General features: G+C 41.9%; 2 long non-coding RNA genes across 4 annotated transcripts in view, besides 1 other annotated feature; one reads left to right on the forward strand and one right to left on the reverse strand.

The window, feature by feature from the left end:
• Window positions 1-24437, reverse strand: part of LINC02250 (long intergenic non-protein coding RNA 2250) — a 122536-nt gene that overhangs the window by 81301 nt on the left and 16798 nt on the right. The window lies entirely within an intron of this gene.
• Window positions 6925-8124: an enhancer, noted in NCBI's record as "CDK7 strongly-dependent group 2 enhancer chr15:25789643-25790842 (GRCh37/hg19 assembly coordinates)". NCBI's record gives its function as "activates an origin of replication core promoter dependent on BRD2, BRD4, P300/CBP, MED14 and CDK7 cofactors, with strong dependence on CDK7, by STARR-seq in HCT116 cells {active_cell/tissue: HCT116}" and the evidence as "EXISTENCE:reporter gene assay evidence [ECO:0000049][PMID:35650434]".
• LOC107984789 (uncharacterized) lies at window positions 17515-23461 on the forward strand. The gene is made up of 2 exons (XR_001751756.1): window positions 17515-21368; window positions 22575-23461. It is a non-coding gene; the product is annotated as an uncharacterized LOC107984789 (long non-coding RNA).

A 24437-nucleotide genomic window follows, 5' to 3' on the forward strand; every position in this document is an offset into this window, starting at 1 on the left:
CCTCCCCGACCCTGCTGTAACAAATTAGCATGAATTTAGTAGCTTAACACACTAATTTATCTCATAGTTCTGGAGTCAGGAGGCTGAAATAGTATCCATGGGTCTACAATCAAGGTGCGGGCAGGGCTGTGTTCCTTCTTGGGGCCCTAGGGAATAAGCTTTTCCAGCTTCCACACTCCACACACATTCCTTGGGTCATGGCCCCATCTCTGTCTTTAGAGCCAGCGATGGTCAGTCAAGTCTTTCTCACAAGGCATCACTCTGACATGACTTCAGTTGTCACATCTCTGGTTCTGACTCTCCTGCCTCCCTATTTCTCTTCTAAGGATTCTTGAGATTACACTAGGCCCTTGGGATAGTCCAGGATAATCTCTCCATTTCACAGTTTTCAACCTTAATCACATCTGCAAAGTCCCTTTTGCCATATAAGGTGCTGGCCTGAAAGGAAGAAGCTGATGCAAAATTACGTGGAAAGTCCACTTGGGGCCAAGCTTGAGGGCCTGGATTCAAGTAGCCCTGAATATACACTCAGAACAGCCACAGTTACTAGTGGATTTTTTAATGCAAAAAAGTGGGGCAGGAAGTGGGCTGATACAAAGTTGTTTGTTAGGAATTCTCATTGGTTTACAGGAATAACATTGATTAGTGATTGGCTATCCATTGTTAAGCTTTAGGATGTGTGTTATAGTGTCTGGTGTGGCATTATTGGGTTAATTTATGGCTACTTGTGGCAATAGCAAGCAGTTTCATGAGATGAACATGGGGGGAAGCTCATGGGGGGAAGCAAGACACAATTGCTGCCTCATTTTAAGGTCTCTCTGAGCCTGATAATTAAAAGGACTTGCATTACTCAGATAAAAGCTCTTTCCTCAAAAGTAACATGTTCATAGATTTTGGGGATTGGTGTGTGGACATCTTTTAGGGAAGGCATTAGACTGTCTGCTACCGTGACACTATCCTGACTTATCGCACTATGATTTATGTTATGTTGCCTGAAATTATACAACATGCACTTTTTTTGTATCTCACTTTTTTCTCGATACTGTGTGAGAGTCAGCATATTGTTTCATGTATCTCTAGCTGATGTATTCCTAATTGTCTAATGTTTTACTGTATGAATACACCACAATTTATGTATACACTCTAAGTGGATGGGCATTTGGATTGTTCCCAGTTTGGGGCTCTTACATAAGATGCTGCTCTGTGTCTGCTTGGGCCTGTGTCTTGGCGTTCCTAGAAGTGGCATTGCTGGGTAAGAGAATATACCACAATTGATGTGAGCACACATCCTAGTTTGCTTGGAACAATCCCAATTTATGCCTGTTGTCCTATCTGGTAAAAGCCTACATTCACTCTCAAAATATGGTCACCCTAGGCATAGTGATACTTATTTCCAACTCCAGTAATGTAGCCAGACAGTTTCCAAAGTGAGAGTAACTGGCCAGGTGCAGTGGCTCACACCTGTAATCCCAGCATTTTGGGAGGCCGAGGCGGGCAGATCACTTGAGGTCAGGAGTTTGAGACTAGCTGACCAACATGGTGAAACATTAGCTGGGCATGGTGGTGCATGCCTGTAATCCCAGCACTTTGGCAGGCTGGAGTGGCAGATCATTTGAGGTCAAGAGTTTGAGACCAGTCTGGCCAACATGGTGAAACTCCGTCTCTGCTAAAAATACAAAAATAGCCGGGCATGTTGGTGATGCGCACCTGTAATCCCAGCTACTTGGGAGGCTGAGGCAGGAGAATCGCTTGAACCCAGGAGACAGAGGTTGCAGTGAGCTAAGATCACGCCACTGCACTCCAGCCTAGATGACAGAGTGAGACTCCATCGCCCCCAAAACACAAAAAACAAAGTGGCAGTAACTTGTGCTCCAGCAACAGTGCGCTCCACATCCTCACCAAACACTTGTGATTGGCCGTCTTTCTCGTTGTAGTTTAATTTGCATTTCCCAATTACTACTAACAAGATTGAGAAACTTTTCATAAATTTATTGCCCATTTAGGACAGTACATTTTTTGAGAAATCTCTGGATCACTTGCTCATTTTTCAATAGAGTCGTCTATCTTTTCTTATGGATTCGTTAGGGATGCTTTTGATATTCTAGATCTGAGTATTTTGTTGATTACATGAATTGCAAATATCTTCTCTCTCTCTGTGGCTTGCCTTCTCACTCTCTTAATGGTGCCTTTTAAGGAATGGACATTCTTAATTTGAATGTGATTTGAATGATTTATCTTTTTATTTATGATTAGCCCTTTTTGTGTCCTATTTAAGAAATCTTTCTCTACACTCAAGACTGTGAAAATATTTTCCTTTATTACCTCCTTGAAAATATGTTGTTTTGCCTTTTATATTTAGGTCTACAATCTACCTAAGCTTGATTTTTTTATGTGAGAAGGTCAACTTTAATTCTGTTTTCAAAAGGGTAAATAATACAATTGACCCAACACTATTTATATAAAATAATATCGTTTTCTTCCCCATTGTTTGATGTACCACCTTTTCAAAAATCAAGGGTTAATATATGCACTGGCCTGTTTCTAGGCTATCTGTTCCATTTGTCATGAGTCTATTTGTTTATCCTTGGGAACAATATCATGCCATCAACTGAACTATTACAGTTTTATAATAAATCATGATAGGTGGAAGAGGAAACTCTCCCCTCATTATTCTTCTTAAAGCGTATCTTAAGTATTCTTAGTTCTTTGCATTTCCACTTAAATTTCAGAATTGTATTAATAATGTCCTTTAAAAAACTCATTGGGATTTTTATTGAGATTGCATAGATCAGTTGTTACCCACCTTCTTGGTCTCCCAATGCAATAGAAATTGACATGAGATCAGAGAGTTTTCCCAGACAAGGCTTCACTGGAGCTTATGCTGGTGCATAAGGGAGGCAGCACCAGAGAGAGAGAGAGAGAGAGAGAGAGAGAGAGAGAGAGAGAGAGAGCGCTATCTGGCTGACTCTCTGAAAAGAGCCAGTAGGGCTTTTTTTTTTTTTTTTTGGCAAAGGATGGGAATTGACATCAGGGATAGATATGTAGGCTGGGTTGGGCACAGTATGTGAGGGGTAGGGTACACAGGTCAGCATATCTGGTTGTGATGGTTATCTTGAGTAACGGGCCACCTGATGGTCTGGCTGGTGGCAACAAGGTTATAAATCAATTGTTCAACATTCCTTCCTGTACTGGGACACTCCACAACCTTGCTTCCATATTTTGGATCTCCTAAGGCCAGTTCCTGGAATTCTTTAAGTAAAACGACTATTAGTAGTGAAGTGGTGGTGTGGGTTTTGTGATCAGTGTGAGTGCATGAAAGAATGTTCTAGTGGGCGTGAGTTGAAGCCAAGCCCTGTCCCTACTCTGTCTTAAATTTATGGAGAACTTACACTTTTACATTATTATATTTTTCAATATAAAATTGTTTTGGAAAATAGGAGGAAATGTTAATAATATCTAAAATATTACAATTTTAAATCGCTAAAGTGAAAGAAAACTTGGCTGCACATATAGACTCATGGTACCCAATATTGATATTAATACCTATAATATGACCATAGCCACCTTAGATTTTCTTGTGTGAATTAATCTGAAATATGTGGCAAAACCCACGTCTCCTCATTGGTGTTTTTTTCTGAAGCTAAGCAAACAACACCATGGTGGTTTGTGAATTGAAATGGTTTTTTCCAATGGAGCAATGTTGTCTGTGGCACTTTGGTTCCAGAAAAGCCCTCAAAGCCCAAGAGACCCCCATTTTGCACAGGAGAAAATCAAGGCAGAGGTAGATTAAGTAGCTTGCTCCAACTGACCCAGCTAGTAAGTGGTACTGTTGGTATTTGAATCTGGGAAGTCTTGTGCAAGAGCTGCTGTCATTAACCATTACACAACATTGCCTTTAAAAATTTGCTTATACCAATTAGGATTTCCTTTTCTCAGGAAATGAGGAATATGAAAATTGATAGCTGCTGGCAGGGGTTTAGCCTCTCCAGGGCACAATTTATATCTCTGTCATTCCATTGGTCTTTGTCTCACAGTCACAAGATGACTGACACACTCTGGGAATTGAAACTGCATGGCAGGCAGCACAAAGTTGGGAGTGGGTGGCACCATCAGTGTCTGCTCTGTTAACAACAAAGCTTTCCCCTAGGCTCCCTCCAACAGGTGAACATGTCCTCTACCAGAAAAGCGGCCCTTTCTGGTGGGCAGGAGAGACTGTCGTAGAGAGCTCATACTGGGTGAGCCGGTCCACAATGCCAGTCACAGCTTCTGGGACTTGAGCAAGGGCTCCAGCAGGGCACCACAACCAAATATCACGTTGGTTGGAATGGGCTGTAGTTTCTAGGGTCTCTTACTAACAGAAAAGTTTAAAGTTTCACCATCTTGTTTCTTGGTCTTCATTTAAATTAAACTCTTACTTTGATCCATTAGAAATTTGCAGTAGAAAAGAGAAAAAGCCATTCCGATACCCTGAAAGCAGAGAACCTCTTATATTCATCTCTAATTCCCCACAAAAATCAGCACAACAGGCCGGGCACAGTGGCTCACGCCTGTAATCCCAGCACTTTGGGAGGCCGAGGCGGGTGGATCACCTGAGGTCAGGAGTTCGACACAAGCCTGGCCAACATGGTGAAACCTGTCTCTCCTAAAATAAAAAATTAGCCAGGTGTGATGGCAGGGGCTTGTAATCCCAGCTACTTGGGAGGCTGAGGCAGGAGAATCACTTGAACCTGGGAGGCGGAGTTTGCAGTGAGCCAAGATTGTGCCACCACACTCCAGCCTGGGCAACAAGAGTGAAACAGTCGCCAAAAAAAAAAAAAAAAAAAAAAAAAAAAATTCAGCACAACAGAGTTTGGACAGGGAAGAGAGAGTCAATAAACATTTGCTGAGTTGACTTGAATTGCGTAATAGTAGGGCAAGAAAAGCATATATTTGACACTTACATTGGATAAAAAATTGACAATATAAGGCATAAAAACACCAGTATAAAGTCACAAACCAAATGTTGATCAATTACTTGAGCATCTAAATCTACCTCAGAGGGTCAAATCTTCATAAGGCATAAAATTTCTTTATGCTGGTCATTCACTCAGCATGTCTTTTTCTCCCCTTTTTCATCCTTTAATCAAGAATTTGGTCTCATGATAGCTCTGACCCACTCAGCGGCAACTAATTCAAAGAATGAATCTCCCCTCCTCCATGGAGAAGCAGTGTGAAGATGCAGAGTTGGAGCCTGTCTGCCCACATGGGATTTTCAGCACAGTGTCTGCATCATCTTTACCGAGCACTTGAATAATTTAGATTGCATGTTCCATGAGGTCTTTGCCTGGTGGTGACAGACACTTAGGATGATCTCTCAAAATGCTCCAAGCTTTTGCATGAAGTGGGTAAGTGATAGTGGTGATTTTAAACCAATCATGAGTTTGTGACGGAGTGTATTAATTTTTTTAAAATGAAGGCAAAAAGATTAAAGAAAAAGTTTAACACAGCTTAGAATTGAGGACCCCTAATGTCCTTTTCTACTTTCACCACTAATTGGGCAAACTTTAGGCAGGCCAGTGGCTCCTGAGTTGAAATAGGAGCCACGGAGCTTCTTTCTGAATTTATCCTCAGGGGGCAGGGCTCTGAACTACTTGAAAGAAATGGTTTGGGCAGTTTGGGGTCTGGGATTTGTTTTTGTTTTTTGCAGGTTTCTACTGCCTTTGTTTTGTGCCCTTTTAGTTGAGCCAAGCCCAGATCTGTTCTTCATCTGCAGGCTGCACTGCTTGATCAGAGATGGCCTATTTCCAAGATCTGGGCTGTGAGCCAAGGTTTGGTAAAACAGAACTCAAGAGGAAAGAGTCTCATTCCTCTTCTCTCTTTCATTTGGGTCAGACTGTAAGTGGCATCTAAGGCAAAGAGGACACATTTGTCCACTCTATTGTGAGGGCTGAAACGCAGAGCTAGCCAGGGACCCTCAACTGCTCAGGAGTTAGTGGGCTGCTCCCAATGCCCTGGTCATCTGTGGTTTCTCCTGAGTCTCTTCCCTGACTTTTACATCCTTCCACCCCCTGGGAAAATTCCAACTTCTCATCCTCCAAGCAGTGTCTGTCCTGTCTTCCCCTTTATTCCTACCAGTCTCTTTAGTTCAGTCACCCTGTTTTTCCCTGTCTCTGCTGTTCTTTTCCTCTTTCTCCTTCCTCATGGTCCTTCTTTGAGTTTTTATTCTTTTCATTTTCCCTTTCTCTTTTTTTTTTTGTTTTTGTGCCTTAGAACTTCTGCTGTCATTCATGGGCCTTAAAGGAAATGTGGAATCTGAGAATAGGCAGCTACAGCTAATGAAATCAGCCTGTGTTTGGTGCCTGGGGACAGGACAAAAAGATGGCTAACCCCAGACAGCACCATGAAGACAGGCTACTGGAAGGATCATGGCAGCAAATCATAGTTGTGATTGTGGCCCATATGTTTGCCAATTCATTCCCTCACCAAATATTGATTGGGTGCCTACAGAAATGAAGATGCCACTCTGTCCTCAAGGGTTAAAGGCTGCTTTTATGGCCTTTCTCCCAGAGCTGTCCAATTAATCCTCATCTCTTTTGTATAAAGATGAGCAACAGGTGTGGAGCATAACATTGACACACACAGTCACTAAATGATTTAAGCAAATGCCAAAGGATTTGGTCATTACCGTAAGTAACAAGACACTGTTCTAAGCCAAAACATTTTCAATTACATTAGGATAGATAAAATCTAGATGGCATTCCAGTTGAATTATATGCTGTCACAGGTGACCTGAGACCACCTTCGGAAATATACATAGAGGCCGGGTCCGGTGGCTCGTGCCCGTAATCACAGCACTTTGGGAGGACAAGGTGGGAGGATCGCTTGAGCCCAGGAATTTGAGAGCAGCCTGGGCAAGAAAGCAAGACCCTGTCTCTATAGATGAAAAAAAAATCTTAAAGAAAAAAGAAAAGAAATCCACATAGAATTCTTGAATGACTTTTTATAACGAGATAAACCAAAGACTCTCCACAAGTCTTTGCTCAGATGGAATAGCCTTTATCCATCTTTTAAAAGAAATGTTAAGATACGGTCTAAAGTAAGCCTGGTCTTGGATAGTCCTGTTATTCCTTCAGAAAAGTAACTTAAACAATTTACTTAGCTAAGTAAACAATTTAAACAATAAATATTATAACCAGGTCAGGTACCTACACTGGCTTTACCAAGGGGTATGCGATATAGTACACTGTCAAATTAATGGAATTCCTTGCAAAATCAACACAGAGCCTCTATGGGGTTACACATTTTAGTTTAGGATCCATAGGACTACTGGATTCTGCTGAGGAATTCTGTCATAATAAATCCCATTCAGCTATAACGTCCAGGTGTCAGACGGTGCAAAACAGAATTAAAACTGTTTTTTAACGTGCATGCTCTTTGGTAACATGAACATCTTAAGATTCTATAAGCATTTATGAGTTCCATCTCCTAAGAGCTTATTACAGTGCTTGCCTGATCTCAAGCAGGTGATTAACAAAAGTTTGTGGATGGTTGACTCTACCTGGTAAGTCCAGTTAATCAGATTGAATCATTTTCCAGTAATGCTGATTAAACTCCCACCTGTGCACCATGCATCTGACTTTTCAGAACTCACTATTCATAGGCCGTGAGTCACTCTCCTCCCACCCACATGCTGATATTCCACAGTTGTCAGAGTGCATCTACACATTTATGTAATGATTCACCAGGAAAGAAAGGGGAACTAGAGGAAGGGAAGGACAAAGTTAGACAAAGAGAATAATGAACAGTTATTGTCAAAAAGGCTGTTGTCTTTGAATACAATATTAGCACTATATTTTTAAATTATGTTAATTTGCTTAAAGTCTCTTGTGACAAGTACATGAAAAATAGACCAGAAATTAGGAATTATAAAGGATTTCAAGACAAATCCCAACAGAACCCAATAGAGTAGATGTAGAGATGGACAGAAAAATGAAGACAAGGATTTAATGTAGTTAAGTCAGCAGAAAGGAATCAACAGTGAGAAAAAGGGGGCTATAATGTCCTTTAAAATACTTCAGTGTGGCGGTGCTTGGTGGCTGGTGGCTCATGCCTGTAATCCCAGCACTTTGGGAGGCCAAGGAAGGTGGATCACCTGAGGTCAGGAGTTCGAGACCAGCCTGGCCAACATGGTGCAACCCTGTCTCTACTAAAAATACAAAATTAGTGGGCATGGTGGTGCATCCCTGTAATCCCAGCTACTCGGGAGGCTGAGGCACGATAATCACTTGAACCTGGTATGCAGAGGTTGCAGTGAGCCGACATCGCGCCACTGTATTCCAGCCTGGGCGACAAAGCAAGACTCTGTCTCAAAAACAAAAAAACAAAACAAAACAAAACAAAAAAAACTTCAATGAAAGTCCTAGCAGCAATGTTTTCCTTACTCTGTGACTCTGACTGTAAACCAACATAATGAATGTGCTCTCACTGCTACAGTTGGGCTCAGCTTTGAGGAAATATCTGTGGTGTTCAGAACACTCTGTCAAGCTCCACGCAGAAGGAGGGGAAACGTTCTTCTTTGCACCTTAGTCACTTAATTTCAAATGTAGAGATGGGGGAAGAAGGAGGTGGAGGAAGAAGAGAAGAAAAACCAAATGACACACTTATCTACTTGCTTTGCATGTTGTCTCATTTAATCCTCAGCACAAATCCATGAGCTTTTTTGCAGCCAGTATTATTGAGGTATAATTGACTGATTCCAACTGCATAAATTTAAATTACACAATTTGATGAGGCCGATGAAATGATAACCCCAATCAAGATAATAACTATATCCATCATCCACAAAAGTTTTCTCATATTCCCTCATAATGCCCCCTCTTCCCAGGCAAGCTGACCTTCTTTGGTTACTATAGATTGGTTTGTATTTTTAAGAAGTTTACATAAATGGGATCATATAATACATAGTTCTTTTTTGGTCTTTTTTTTTTTTAAATGGAGTCTCGTTCTGTCACCCATGCTGGAGTGCAATGGTGCCATCTCTGCTCACTGCAACCTCCGCCTCCCGGGTTCTAGCGATTCTCCTGCCTCAGCCTCCTGAGTAGCTGGGATTACAGGCACCCACCACCACGCCAGGCTAATTTTTGTATTTTTAGTAGAGACAGGGTTTCACCATGTTGGCCAGGCTAGTCTTGAACTCCTGACCTCAGGTGATCTGCTTGGTTTAGCCTCCCAAAGTGCTGGGATTACAGGCGTGAGCCACTGGACCTGGCCTTGGTCTTTCTTTAAAAAAAAAAAAATCAGCGTAATCATTTTGAGATTTACCCATGCTGTTGCATACACCAACAGTTCAATCATTTTTCTTGCTGAGTAATATTCCATTGAATGAATACATAAAAATGTATTTAACCTTTCAGCTCCTGATGGACATTTGGGTTGTTTCCAGTTTAGGAATATTACAAATAAGCTGCTATGAATATTTGTATGTGAGTCTTTGTTTGAGCTATACTTTAGTTTCTCTTGGGTGAGTGCCTAGGAGTTGGATTACTGGGTCATATGGTTGGTGTATATTTAAGTTTTTAAGAAGCAGCCAAAATGTTTTCCAAAGTGATTGTTTTATTTTTAATTCCAATTGGCAATATATGGAGAGTTCTGGTTGCTTCACATCCTTGCTCACACGTGGCTATGGGCAAACTTCATTTTTGCCATTCTAGGGGGTATATAGTGGTACCTCCTTGCGGTATTTATTTGCATTTCCCTTATGGCTTATGATATTGAGAATCTTTTCATGTGCTCGTAGCCCATTTGCATATGTTTTTTGCTTAAATATTTTGCTCTTTTTTGTGTATGCGTGACAGAGTCTCACTCTGTTGCCCAGCCTGGAGTGCAGTGGTGCAATCTTGGCTCACTGCAACCTCCGCTTCCTGAGTTCAAGTGATTCTCATGCCTCAGCCTCCTGAGTAGCTGGGATTACAGATGTGTACCACCATGCACATCTGTAATCCCAGCTACTTTTTATATTTTTAGTAGAGACGGAATTTCATCATGTTGCCCAGGCTAGTCTCAAACTCCTGGCCTCATGTGATCTGCCTGCCTTGACCTCCCAGAATGTGGTGATTACAGGCATGAGCCACCACACCTGGCCTCATTTTTAACTGGGTTTCTTGTCTTTTTCAAATTAAGTTATAAGAGTTCTTTATAGATTCTAAACACAAATTTTTTGTTGGATATAGGTTTTGATTTACCTTTTCATTTTTGTTACTGTATCTTTGAAGAGCAAAACTGTTACTTTGAATAAGTTCAATTTATTAATTTTTTTCTGTTATAACTTGGACTTTTATATTGTAGTTAATAAATATTTGCTAAATCCATAGTCACTAAGATATTATCTTAGGATGGGCGTGGTGGCTCATGCCTGTAATCCTATCACTTTGGGAGGTCAGGGTGGGAGAATCACTTGAGCCCAGGAGTTCAAGACCAGCCTGGGCAACACAGTGGAACCCCATCTCTCTATTTATAGAAAAAAGATATTATCTTAGTTTTTCTTCAAGTGTTTTTATAGTTGGAATTCTTACATTTAGGTCTAAGATTCATTGTGAGTTAATTTTGTATATAGTGTAGTAAAGGCCAAGGTTCATTCTGATTTTTACGTTCATTTTGATATTATGTTTCAGCACCAGGAAAGTCCATATTTTTCCTATTGTGTTACCTTGACTTCTTTGATCAATCAATCTCAGCCAATTGATGACTGTAATAATGGAGTAGGGGTATATTTCTAGATTTCTCCTGATAAGTACAGCTTAAAATTTGGAAAATGACATGGTGACGAGTTTTCTTTTTACTTCATATACCTCGGACTGGAAAGTGGAAAAGCTGCCAACCTGGAAACACCACTGGACACAGAACGATAACAACAAAAGTCTAAGAAAAGTTTTCTCTCTAGCCGTAAGACTAGGAAAGGGGCAACCTTGACAAACCAAAAACTTTTAGATCATCGACACTCTACTCTCGCCACACATTACAGAAAAAATGTTGAGGTGCCATCCATACCCCTACCAGCAAATATAGAATGCAGAGCACAGGCTTCCACACTCGCATCGCAACCCTTCCTCCCCTACCAGAGTGCTGTCAGAGAGGGCCCACAGGAAGCCAGCCCTCCTCTCCCACCACAGTGTCAGTGGACACCACACAGGGAGCCTAGACGTCCATCTTCACTCAGCTAGTGTTGATAAGGCAACTCTCCCTCTCCCTGCTGGGGGGTGGTGGCAGAGGAAGCCTAGATGAGAGTCAGAACTTTCACCACTGCTCAGTGGCATTTAAGGCCACCCACTTACAGTTTTAGTGGATGCCACATGAGCAGTGATAAGATGCCCCACTCCTTCACAGGCAGGGGCATATTAGTGTAGCCTTGGTGGGAGCTGGCATTCTCACTAATACCCCACAGTACAGAGGAGCTACCCCTTCAGGCGTCAATGGAGGTCAAGTAGTAAACCTGGGCATTTACCCACTGGACAGTAAAAAAGTACCCACTAGAACTTCTCCTTCCCCTGCTAGAGTAGTGTCAAAGAAAGCTAGTTAAAACAGAAAGTTTAAATAAGATCCAGAGTCTCCTAACATAATAACCAAAATGTCTAACTATCAATTTTAAATGTACATGTTATACAAAGAACCAGGAATACTTCAACAGCAAAATGAAGAGTAGAGGGGGAAAGAATCAGTGAACTTGAGAACAGAACAAGCGAATTACCCAAACTGAACAACAGAGAGAAAATATATTTCAAATAAATAAATGAATCCTCAGAGACATGAGTATAGGGAAAAATATAATATTCATGTCATTATAGGCACATAATAAGAGGATGGGGGTGGGGACAAAAGATTATTAGAAGAATTAGTGGCTGAAAATTTTTCAAATGGCAAAACTCATAAACCTACAGACTCATAAAACTGAGAAAATTTCAAATAGGATAAACCAGAGAAATCCACACCAAGACACATCTTAGTCAAACAATAGAAAGTAAAAAATAAGAAAAAAAATTGAAAGCAGCCAAAGAGAAGTGATACATTATATTTAGGAGAAAAACAATTAGAATGACAGCAGATGTCATGTCAGAAACCATGGAGATGAGGGTAAAGTGATACAATATGTTTCCAGTACAGACAAAAGAATTGCCAGTCCAGAATTCTGTATCCAGTGAAAATCTTCTTCTGAGTGAAGGGGAAATCATTCTCATATGAAGAAAAATTAAGAGAATTTGTTGTTAACAGAAGTTTTTGAAACAGAAAGAAAATGATAAATGAAGAATGTAGGAAATCGAGGAATAATAAAAAATAAATAAAAATATGAGTAAATACAATAGATTTTTTTTCTTTTGAGTTTTCTAAGTCATGTTTGATCGTTAAAGCAAAACATTGTAACGATGTCTAATGCAGTTCTCAATCTATTAGGGAACGATTTCATACAAATATATTACAAATGGGGAAGGGTAAATTGACAAAGGAGGGAAAGTGGTAAAGGAGGGAAGTGGTAAAGTGTTGGCACCAGTATATGGTGATAAGTTACATATATGTAATGTAATACTTAGAGTATTCATAAATTTAAAATTCTGCAAAAAGAAATCTGTAGGCCCACATAGTTTCATACCAGTTCTACACAATCTCTTTCAGGAAATCTATCAACTCAAACTGTAAGGCCAGTATTACATTGCTCTTAAAACCAGACAAACGCAGTACAAAAAGAAAACCGTAGACCAATATCTGTCATGAATTTAGATACAAAAATCCTTTTAAAGTTAGCAAATATAATGCAATAGTATATGAAAGCAACTATATACCATGACAAAGAGGAATTTATTTTAGTGATGCAAGGCTGGGTGAATATTTGAAAATAACCATATTAATAAGTTAAAGAAGAATCGCATGATTATATCAATTGTTGCAGAAAAAGCATTTTACAAAATTTAAAACCCATTATTGACACAACCCTCAGAAATATACTGAATAGAGAGGAACTTTCTCAACTTGTTAAAAAGCATCTACAAAAACTTTACGGCTATATCATACTTAATGCTGAAGACTGGATGCTTTATCCCTAAGATTGAGAACAAGGCAAAGATTTCTACTCTTACCACTGCAAATCCATACAGAACTGGAAGATGTAGCCAGCTCAATTAGGCAGGGATAGGAAAAGTAAACCATACATATTAGAAGAGGAGAAATAAAACTGTCCTATTTGCAGTAGATATTGTCTAAATAATACATTTCATGGAGTATATAAAAATTCCTAGACCTAATAAGTGAATTCCATAGAGTTACAGGCTACAAAATCAACATGCAGCGATCAATTGTATTTCTGTATACTAACAATGGACACGTGGAAACCAAATTTAAAAATACAATACCATTAACAATAATTCAAAATAAAAAGGGAGAAATACATAGTTTTAAATCTAGCAAAACATTTACAGGACTGGCATGCTGAAAACTATAAAATGCTAATGGAAGAAAGGAAAACAAGATGGAAATAGAGAGCTATTTCATGATCAGAGATTTGAAGACATAACATAGTAACAATGTCAATGGCTGGGCATGGTGGCACATCCCTATAGTCCCAGCACTTTGGAAGGCAGAGGCTGGAGGAATACTTGAGCCCAGGAACTCCAGGCTGCAGTGAGCTATGATGGTGCTACTGCACTCCAGCCTGGGTAACATAGAGAGAGCCTGTCCCCTAAAAAAAAAAAAAGAAATGCAGATGGCAAATAAACACATTAAAAGATGTTCAACATCATTAGCCATTAGGGAAATGCAGATTAAGACTACAATAAGATATCACTACACACCTATTAGAACAGCTAAAATAAAAAATAGTGACAGCACCAAATGCTGTAGAAGAGGAACCGAATCTCTCATACCTTACTGGTGGGAATGTACCCGATGCTACAGCTACTATGGAAAACATTGTGGCAGCTTATTAAACAAGTGAATATACTCTTAGCAGCCGGGCACGGTGGCTCACGCCTATAATCCTAGCACTTTGGGAGGCTAAGGTGGGTGGATCATTTGAGGTCAGGAGTTCGAGACCAGCGTGGCCAACATGGTAAAACCCTGTCTCTACTAAAAATACAAAAATTAGTCAGGCATGGTGGCACACACCTATAATCCCAGCTACTGGGGAGGCTGAAGCAGGAGAATCACTTGAATCTGTGCAGTGGAGGTTGCAGTGGGCCGAGATCGTGCCACTGCACTCCAGTCTCCAGTGAGACCCTATCTCAAAAAAAAAAAATATGTATATATATATACATACACACACACACACAACACTTAGTGTACAATCATGGGCTTTTATCCCAGAGAAATGGAGACTTATGTCTGCACAAATTGTGTACATAATTGTTCACAGCAGCATTATTTGTAAATAGCCAAAAACCGGAAACACCAGAATGTCCCTTATAGGTGAATGGCTGAACAAACTGGAGCAAATTCATACCATGGAGTACTACTCAGCAGCAAAATAGAATGAACTATGGATACAATGACCGGGAAGTATCCCAAGGGCATTATGCTAAGTGAAAAACAGCCAATATCAAAAGGTTACACATTGTATAATACTGTTTATATACCATTCTTGAAATTATAAAATTGCAGAGACAGGAAACAGATTGGTAGTGAGGGCTAGCACAAAGGTATCTTTGCGGTCATGGAATAGTTCTGTGTCTTGAGTGTCGTGGTAGCTACACGAATCTACATATGTGCTAAAACGACACAGAACTATGCACTCACATTGTATCAATGTCAAATTCCTGGTTTTGATATTGCACTGTAATAATGTAAGATGTGACTATGGGGGAGAAACTGGGTTAAGGATCCATGAGACCTGTGTGCTGCCTTTGCAACCTCCTGTGAATATTTATTTCAAAAGTTAAAATATCAGTGGAAGATGTAAGTGCTGGTATTTCTGAACAGTATTCTGTTCCATTGATCAATATGTTTATTTTTATGGTCATTTTATAGTAAGCATTGAAATCAGGTAGTGTCATGAGTCAATTACTAAAATACCTTCATTGGGTATATGTTGAAACTCAGACTCAGAGAGGTAGATACCTTTTTTAAGGTCAGTCATCTGGAAAGGGCAAAATGTATTTAAAACCAGATTTTCCTAATTTCAAAGATCCTGTCCTTTTACTGGCGTTAATACATATGCATACACTGATCATAAACTCACAGAAGTGGCCTTGTGCTCAGGTCTTTACTACTCAGCGTATGGTCCCAGATCCCACAGCACAAACATCAGCTGGGAGCTTGTTAGCAATGTGGACTCTCAGCTCCTCCCACACCCCCTGACGAACTGAGTTAGAAGAGCTTCAGGTGATTCCATTTTAAAGTTTGAGAAGTGGCCGGGCGGTGTCTCACGCCTGTAATCCCAGCACTTTGGGAGGCCGAGGCGGGCGGATCACGAGGTCAGGAGATCGAGACCGTCCTGGCTAACACGATGAAACCCTGTCTCTACTAAAAACACAAAACATTAGCCGGGCGTGGTGGCGGGTGCCTGTAGTACCTGCTACTCGGGAGGCTGAGGCAGGAGAATGGCGTGAACCCGGGAGGCGGAGCTTGCAGTGAACCCAGATCGCGCCACTGCACTCCAGCCTGGGCGACAGAGGGAGACTCCATCTCAAAAAAAAAAAAAAAAAAAAAAGTTTGAGAAGCACTAGGCTCACTGCCCAATGTGTTGTTCCTATCAATTCCATATTCACTGCTTAAGTCATTTGGTCAGATCATGAATATGAGGTAGTTGATCTATTAGACAGTGAATAAAGGTAATTTTGAATAACAGATCTTGAAAAACATGAGACCGTTAAAATTTAACATTTTTGCATACCTTTGTGAAAATCCTTGGCTAAGACTTAGGAGTCATGAAACAGTCTTGGTGAGAGTTTGTATGGGTAGGTAACTAGGTGAGGCTTGGGTATCACCCAGAACCTACCCCTGACAAGAGCAGGGCTGCTGTTTTATGCTTTTGACTTTTACATATTAAAATTTTCTTTTTGGTCTTGATTATTTCAGGCAAGAAATAAATTATAATTCAGATTGTTTATTGCCTCTAAGTAATGTGTCATTTCTGTCTGGCTCCTTTGAAGATTTTTATCTTTAGTTTTCACAAGTTTAATTACGTTGTGTCTTGTTAGGGACTTTGGGTTTTATTTGGGATTCAAGCTTCTTGAATCTGTAGGCATGGTGGGCTGACAAATGCAGTCCCCCCCTCAAAAAAAGATATCCATGTCAAATCCCTGGAACCTGTGGACATTACCTTATATGAAAAAAAAAAACAAAGGGTCTTTCGGGTAGGCATCGTGGCTCATGCCTGTAATCCCAGCACTGGGAAGCTGAGGTGGGAGGATCGTTTGAGCCCGGGAGGTCAAGGCTACATTGAGCACCACTCACTCCAGCCTGGTGACAGAGTAAGACCCTGTCACCAAAAAAAGGTGGGAGTGGGGAGTCTTACAGATGTGATTAAGTTAAGAATCTTGAGATAAAGGAGTAATCTTAGATTATCTCAGGTGGACCCTAAATACTATCACAGGTATCCTTGTAAAGAAAAGAAGAGAAAATTGACACACAGAGAAAACACAGAAAAGAGAAGGCAATGTAATCATGGAGGCAGTGGCTGGAGTGACGGAGCCACAAACAAGAACACCAACAGCCTGCAGCTGGAAGAGGCCAGGCATGGAGTCTTCCCTGGAGCTTTCGGAGCCTGCAGACACCTTGATTTTGGTCCAGTGATTTTTTATTTCCGACTTCAGGCCTCCAGAACTGTGAGAGAACACATTTCTGCTCTTTTAAGACAAGAGGTTTGTGGTGATTCGTTATGGCAGCACAGGAAACTCATGCAGCACATTTATATTTTTTACCAAATTTGAGAAATTTTCAGACATTATTTCTTCTGACACTTTCCAGTTCCACCCTCTCTTTCCTCTTTTTCTTTAACTTCAGTGATTTGAATCTTAGCTCTTTTTATTTTTTATTTTTATTTTTATTGCGATAGAGTCATGCTCTTGTCGCCCAGGCTGGAGTGCAGTAGTGTGATCTTGGCTCACTGCAACCTCTGTCTCCAGGGTTCAAGCTATCATCCTGCCCCAACTTCCCAAGTAGCTGGGATTACAGGCATGCACCTCCTCACCCAGCTAGTTTTTTTGTATTTTTGTAGAGACAGGGTTTCACGATGTTGACCAGGCTGGTCTTGAACTCCTGACCTCAGGTGATCCGCCTGCCTCGGCCTCGCAACGTGTTGAGATTACAGGCATAAGCCGCCACGCCCGGCCCAAATCTTAACTCTTTTTATTGTCTTACAGTTCCCTGAACCTCTGTTAAATTTTTTTTCAGTCTATTTTCTCTCTGTTGTTCAGACTGGGTTAATGCCACTGACGTGTCCTCAAGTTTATTGTTTCTATTCTCTGTCGTCTCCACTCTATTATTTTTTCCAGCTTGTTTTTCATTTCAGTTATTTTATTTTGCAGTTCTGTAATTTGCATCTGGTTCTTTTAAAAAATAATTTCTATTTCTTTGCTGCATTTTTCTATTTTTTCAGTTTGTTTCAAGAGAATTTTAACCACATGTGGAGGCATTTTTATGATGCCTGCTTTAAAGTTCTTTTCAGAACATTCCAAAAACTGATATTGCCTTTTCTCATTCAAATTGTGGTCTCCTGGTTCTTGGCTTTTGTGGAGTTTTCAGTTGTAGCCTAGCCTTTTTGGATATTAGGCTATGAGCCTCTACATCCTATCCAATCATCTTTTTTAGCAAGCATTGCCCCTGGAGGTAGCACAAGGGCCAGGTGGGTGACTGTGTCCATCTTCCCACTGAGCCCTGCCAGTACCAGTGTGAACATTGAGCAAGCCAAATTCACACCACCTCCTTGGACTGCAGGGGATAAAGGTTCAGCCTTTCTTCGTTGTTGACCCCTTCTGGGTAGAAGTTGGGCACTAATTCACACCACCTCATTGCCTACAAGGTTCAGGAGCTCAGCTCAGCTCTTTGCTAGGCTCTGTTGACCCTGGGGAGTGAGAAGCAGAGGGCTGACTTCCGTCATGGGAGTAGAGGCTCAACTCACCCTGGACCCCCTGACTCTACCATGGCAGGGAGACTTGTGTGTCTCACTTGTGTCCCCGGGCAGAGGGTGCACCATGAGCTCCCTGCTCAACCCCACCACAGCGGGCCACCACCTGCTCTGTGGTAGAGGGGGCAGGTGGAAAATCAGCACCTGCCAGGCCACCGACACAGGTAGGAGTGGTTTGTTTTTTTTTCTTGATATTTGACTGGAGTAGGGGTGGCATTGCCAAAAGGTTTTCTGTCCTTAGCTCAGCTTTCCTGGCCCGAGGCTTAGCATGCCAGCCTGCCTGGGGCCTTCTGAGTCTGTGCCTGTGGTGGTCTGGCGGGAGGCTCTGTGGCTGCGCCTGGGATACTGGGAGGCAACACCACGTGTGGTTTCCCAGGTTCCTAGGCAGCGGCCCCTTGTCAGTCTCCCCAAGTGCATTTGTTGTGTTGTGTCAGGGCATTTTTTGTCTTGAGAGGAGGACCTGGAGGAGTGGGACTGCTCCATCTTGGTGGAGCTACAAGCAATCATGCATTGATGATTTTGTATTATTTTACTTGGTGAAGAGTTCTCATAAAAACCTGAAAATGACTCAAAAATTCCTTCTGGGGCTGAAATTCTCAGTCTTTGTCATTTCAACTAGGTGGGAAACAAATCCTGTCCCATTCATTGCATTCCTAAGGCTGTTGGTCTTTATGTTGCTACCCCAGAGAGGCAGGGATTGCTTTAGAGTTGAATGTGGACACCCAGCCACCTGGCTTCACCTCCTGGCTCACTTAACAATTAAACAATTCTACTTAAACAATCTACTTGGCCTGTCTTTGCCTCAGTCTGCTTATCTGTAGAGAGGGGACAGTAACAGTGTTAAAAAGTGCCTGGCAGAGAGTAAATACTATACCTTGCTATTACTATTATTCCTTGGCTTTGCAAATGTTATACCCATGAATTCCCTCCTCCTATGGAATTCTCTCTTTTAATCTCATGTATTTTCTCACTCAGACTCAGCTATCTAAATTAACGTGAGTTTGGAACTGGGAAGTATCAGGTACAGAAAAGGCATGGGATTAGGGACCTTCAGCTCTGTGAGGGGCGCAGGAGATCTGAAGAACAGCCTGGAAGAAGGATGTGGATGGTAAGTCATCGCCTTTGTCCACTTGAGTGTTTTTTAGAGAACTCTAACAAGGGATTGCATGAAGAAATTCGATACAAACAACTATGTGTCAGTGAGTCTGGGTTCAAATAATAATTTCCCAACAGACCTTCAAAAATACTGTCCAACTTTCTTGTCCACTCAGCCAAACCCGGTCTTCCGGAAGTGAGCGAGAGTTCATCCTTTCCCAGCGGGTGCAGGTAGAAGGAACAGTGTTCAGAGGGTCCAGGTATTCCCTCCATCTGCTGTGTCATAAGTGATCTACAGGGGGCTTTTGGCTCCCTGCATTTGCTTGGTTCTTTTAAAAGTGTTAAAAATAAAGCATTTACATCATTCTTTCATACACTTATTATAGTATTATTCATCTTAGACCAAAGTCTCATTCTAGTATTTTTGATTATAGGCAAGGCAATGGTCCAGATACTTTCTAAAGCAAAACTGCTTTCTGTATATATTGAAGAAAACCAATGGGAAGAAGATGTCTAAAGCAAGCATGTGTGAAGGCCTAGGGCTTTTTGTATCAGTATAAACAAAATGCAGCAGGGCATGTCCATGAGTTTCTTTTTGCCATACTGATGAAAGACTAGAGATGAAAAAGTTACACTGTTCTTTGTGGGGGGAGGAGTAAGCATTAGGATGAAAGTCACTTCCAGAAACCACTAGGTAGGCATGAGGTTGTAAGGAAGGCTACGCTCCTGGCTTCCTTCCATATTCGTGGTTTTATCCTACTGCCCCTGCCAGACCTCTTATCATAGCTATAAACATTTCTATAGCTATAAGCATATTTTCATTTGCATGACCTTCACTTATTTCTGCAAAGTCCATAGCTAAAAGTCTTGGACACAGCCGTCACGTGCTGCTCCAGCCAACTTCCCATGAGGTCAGTCCTTATGCATCGCCATCCTGACTGTTGGTGGCCGCAGCGCTCATCCTCAGCCCCAGGTGTGCAACAAAAAAGGAGCTTCTCCCAACTCCTAATTGCATGGAAAGGCTGCAGGTATTTCCTGGCTTTACTTGCATAACCTTTAGGTATGTGTTGTCTGAAACCACGTCTTTCCCATATTGATTTTTCATGAGGGAGGGACATAATTCTGACAGAGATGTAAAAAGCAACAAAAATGTTCCTCCTTCACCAACATAGAGCCTCCTGCTCTATACCAAACACAGGGATACAGAGATGAATGGCATGGCCAGGCACGTACAGTGCGAGGGGCTGCAGGCCTGCATGTGGAATGTCTCATCACAGCCTCCAGTTGTCCCAGTAGCATGCACAGAGGGCACGGGTGAGTCTGGAGGAGCCATTGAAGACTTCTCTAGGGAGAGACGTTTGTGTGAGATCACAGACGATGTGTGGGCATGTGCCAGGTGGCAAAGAAGAGAAGGCTTGTGAGGAATGAAACTTGGCATTCATAAAACCAGTGTTTTTCTCAAAAGCCAGTGTCTTGCATTTAAGTGGGATTAGAAATAAATATTCCCAACACATGCAGGTGAGGAAGATCTGTGGCCCAGGGCAGCCCAGGAGAGAGGACCTTTCTCTGCCAGGACAGATCCCCTTCAGGAGGCCCCTGATGGAAAGGCAGTGGTGGGCCTGGGGATTCCAGGATGTTGGACTCCTGCCCTGGATGGAGAGGCTCAATTTAGGTGAGAAAACCAGCGATGGGCTTTGGGGCTTCCCTCACCTGTAGATTTCAGATACAGCAGGTAAGGGACAGATCTGGAAAACTACAGAAGGAGTGGGGCCTGGGGTTCAAATGAGGAAGACTCATGGAAACAGTGGTGATGAGAGGCCAGTAGACACCAATGACCTCAGCCTCCAGAGAACCCTACAAACGCTGACCCAAGATGCGGTCAGATGCAGCCCTTCCTGGTTGATTAATTTTTGGGCTGCCCAAGTGTGGGGGTGCACACACCAGTGCAGCCCAGGATTTTGTTTTCACAGTGACACCTCTCATCTTCTCTAGGCTTCTCACCTCTTAGCCTGGGCTGTCATCCAGGTCTTGGAGAAGTCAAGCAACTTGTCATGGGCAGGAAAAGACAGCCCAGAACCCAGAACCTGGAAATACTGATATTTGGGGGAGAGGGTCATGTTTCCCCCAGACATCTCTGCCCCAGCCCTCAGCTGTTGGGATGAAGAGGTGCTACCCGATTACTAAATGGGTGGGTGGATTGTCCTTGGATTGCATCTAAAATTGCATGTCTATTCATCCATCAATTCACTCAATGAATATTTTGCTCATCTACCACTCAAATAGATTCAGCAAACATTTCCTGAGCACCTACTTTGTGCCTAGTACTATGTGCTAAATCCTGGGCACACTAATAAGACACATTTCCTATTATTGTTCAAATGTGTGATATATGAATAAGACACATATTCTACTACACTTCAGAATACTGATTTTTAATTGCAGTGGGGGAGGAGATAGGTCTGCAAATCACAAAAGGCCTTTCCACCACTTTGCCCCACTAGGTGGGACTTTCTGTTATTGACTATTGGATTATATCAAGTTCTTCAAACAGGTTAGAGCACACAAAGGGTTAGGAACCACTGATTCAGGTGCCAAAGCCAAGAAAATAAAATATCTATCAGGAAACGTAAGGATAAGATACATGTCCATGATATACTACAAGTAGGTTGAGAAACTGCTTTCCAAAGTCCTGGAAAACAAGAATCTTTACAAGGATTCTCTCCAATGGCTGTTCACACATGTGTGGGCTCAGGGACCTGGACAAAGACTGTGTGAGCCATGGGCATGAAGGTTTAATCACAGGACATCATTTCTGCCAGGAACAGTGTCATGAAGGAGCTGGAGTGAGCAGGTCCCCAAGGGAGGCAGTATGGAGTGGGACCTGAGCTAGAGGCTGGAACTGTGTCTGACTCCACCACGGACTGGCCAGTGTGGGTCCCTCTGGCTGTTCCTGTGCCTGCCTGTCCTCAGCCTCAGCAAAATGAGCAGCGAGAGAAGGTGATACCAAGATCCGTTCCAGCTCCCGAGCCTCTGACTCCAGCTGCCTGGCTCTGAAATCACCGGCTGCCCCCTGAAGTCCACCACTCTCCTGTTGGTGCCCGTGCTCCTTCCCCTGAATCACAAGGGCACTGGCCGTGTCCCTATTGTCCTGGCTGTGTACAACCTCTACCAAGGGGTTACCCCGTCTAGATCATCTCCTTGGTCCTTATCAGCAATTTGGGCTTCCCTTTCTTCCTGTGTCCTCTCTCTGTGAGATGGTAAGTGTGGTAAAACAAACAAGCAAGCAAACAAAACCACCGTCCTGCTTGAAAAGCAATTTAAAGGCAGAGGGATTTTAGAATAGCGCACCTTCCACCTAGTCATCCCTGGATCCCGTTTCCTTACATCCTTTCAGATCCCCTTCCACCTGGAAGTGTGCGCCTCCAAAAGCAGTGGCAGGTTCTGCTTCACACCCCAAGAATGACGCCTGGCATACACTGATCCTGCTGCCTTAGGAGGAGATACTCAAGCGCTGGAAGTCTGCCCTGCCTGCAGAAAAGGCTCCGTTCAGCAGCTGCATACTGCATTTTCCATGTGTATGTGACTTTAACACAGGGGAGAGAGAGGGCTACTGTCTTGCCACCCAGATGTGTATTATAGATGTACACGGGACTAGTATCCATGTGTACAGCATCCTGTATGGTGTGTATGCAACATGCATACCATATATAGGTAATGTGTTGAGATCTGGGCAGACTTCCGATAGCGTTTGCATGAGTAAGGAAACCTGCCTGTCTCTTGGTCCTTTTAATGGTGACCTGACCTGAATAGCTGTTTACATTTTTTTATTTAAAAAAAAATCTCCAAAGCAATGGTCTCCACGTGCCAGTCCCTGAACAATGAAGTTTTCAACAGCTTCCATAAAAACAAATAAAGCAGGACAATGTACAGTTAGCCCTCCATATCCATGGGTTCTGCATTCCTGGATTCAACTAACTGCAGAGCAAAAAACAAAAAAATTTTAATGCATCTGTACTGAACAAGTGCAGAGGTTTTTGGTTACTATTCCCTAAACAAAACAGTATGACAACTATCAACATTGCATTTTCATTGTATTTGGTATTGTAAGTAATCTAGAAATGGGAAGATGTGTGAAGGTTATCTGCAAATACAACACCATTTTATATCAGAGACTTTAGCATCCATGGATTCTGGGATCCAGGGGGGTTCCTGGAACTAGTCTCCCATGGATACCAAGGGACGACTGTACTGTTTTCAGAAAATAAACTATAATCAACCTGAGATTATGTCCTTCTTACTTTTTCTGAAGTTAAAACATTTTTTCTTAATCAAATGATTGTGACAATAAATTATTTTAAAACATTAGGTAATTACTGGCAAAATAAAAAGACCCTCCCCCCACTTTTAATTTAGTGCTTTGTAAATTAAAAAAATCTGGTAACTGGCCAAGCGCCGTGCCGTAGCTCTTAGCTGTAATCCCAGCACTTTGGGAGGCCGAGGTGGGCAGATCACGAGGTCAGGAGTTTGAGACCAGCCTGACCAACATGGTGAAACCCTGTCTTTACTAAAAGTACAAAAATTAGCCGGGCATGGTGGTACGCACCTGTAATCCCAACTAGTCAGGAGGCTGAGGCAGGAGAATCACTTGAATCTGAGAGGCAAAGGTTGCAGTGAGCCAAGATTGTGCCACTGAACTCCAGCCTGGGCAACAGAGCAAGACTCTGTCTAAAAAAAAAAAAAATCTGGAAACCACCAATCTGTTGGGTAAAATTCCATGTTGGGTGATGTATTTGGGTTCTGTATTATATAGTTATTGAAGGAGAGAAGGAAGGAACAAAGGAAGGAAGGAAAAAAGGAAGGAAGGAACAAAAGGAGAAGGGAAAATTCAAGTACACCTGCATGGAAAAAAGTTACCTTAGGTAATATTCAAAGATCGATGACAACTATGGAAATTATTTACAATTTATAGCACAAATATTTCTTAATATCAGTAAGGACTATAAGCCAATAGAAAACTGATTAACACCTACAAATAGTGTTAAAAGAAAAAGAAATACTTTTTTACCCAAAATAACTACAAGATAGCAGTTTTCACTGCTAGATTTGCCGTCATTCAGAGTTTGATTATTCACCGTGCTGAGGATGTTGTGTTGTGGGAAACCTACATGCTCATAGGAGTGTAAATTGCTATAACTGTATGGAGAGAAATTTAGCGACGTTTTCATAGGGTGATTCCACTTTGAGGATTTAATCCTGC

Source organism: Homo sapiens, chromosome 15 (assembly GCF_000001405.40).
Source record: "Homo sapiens chromosome 15, GRCh38.p14 Primary Assembly".
Lineage (NCBI taxonomy): Eukaryota > Metazoa > Chordata > Mammalia > Primates > Hominidae > Homo > Homo sapiens.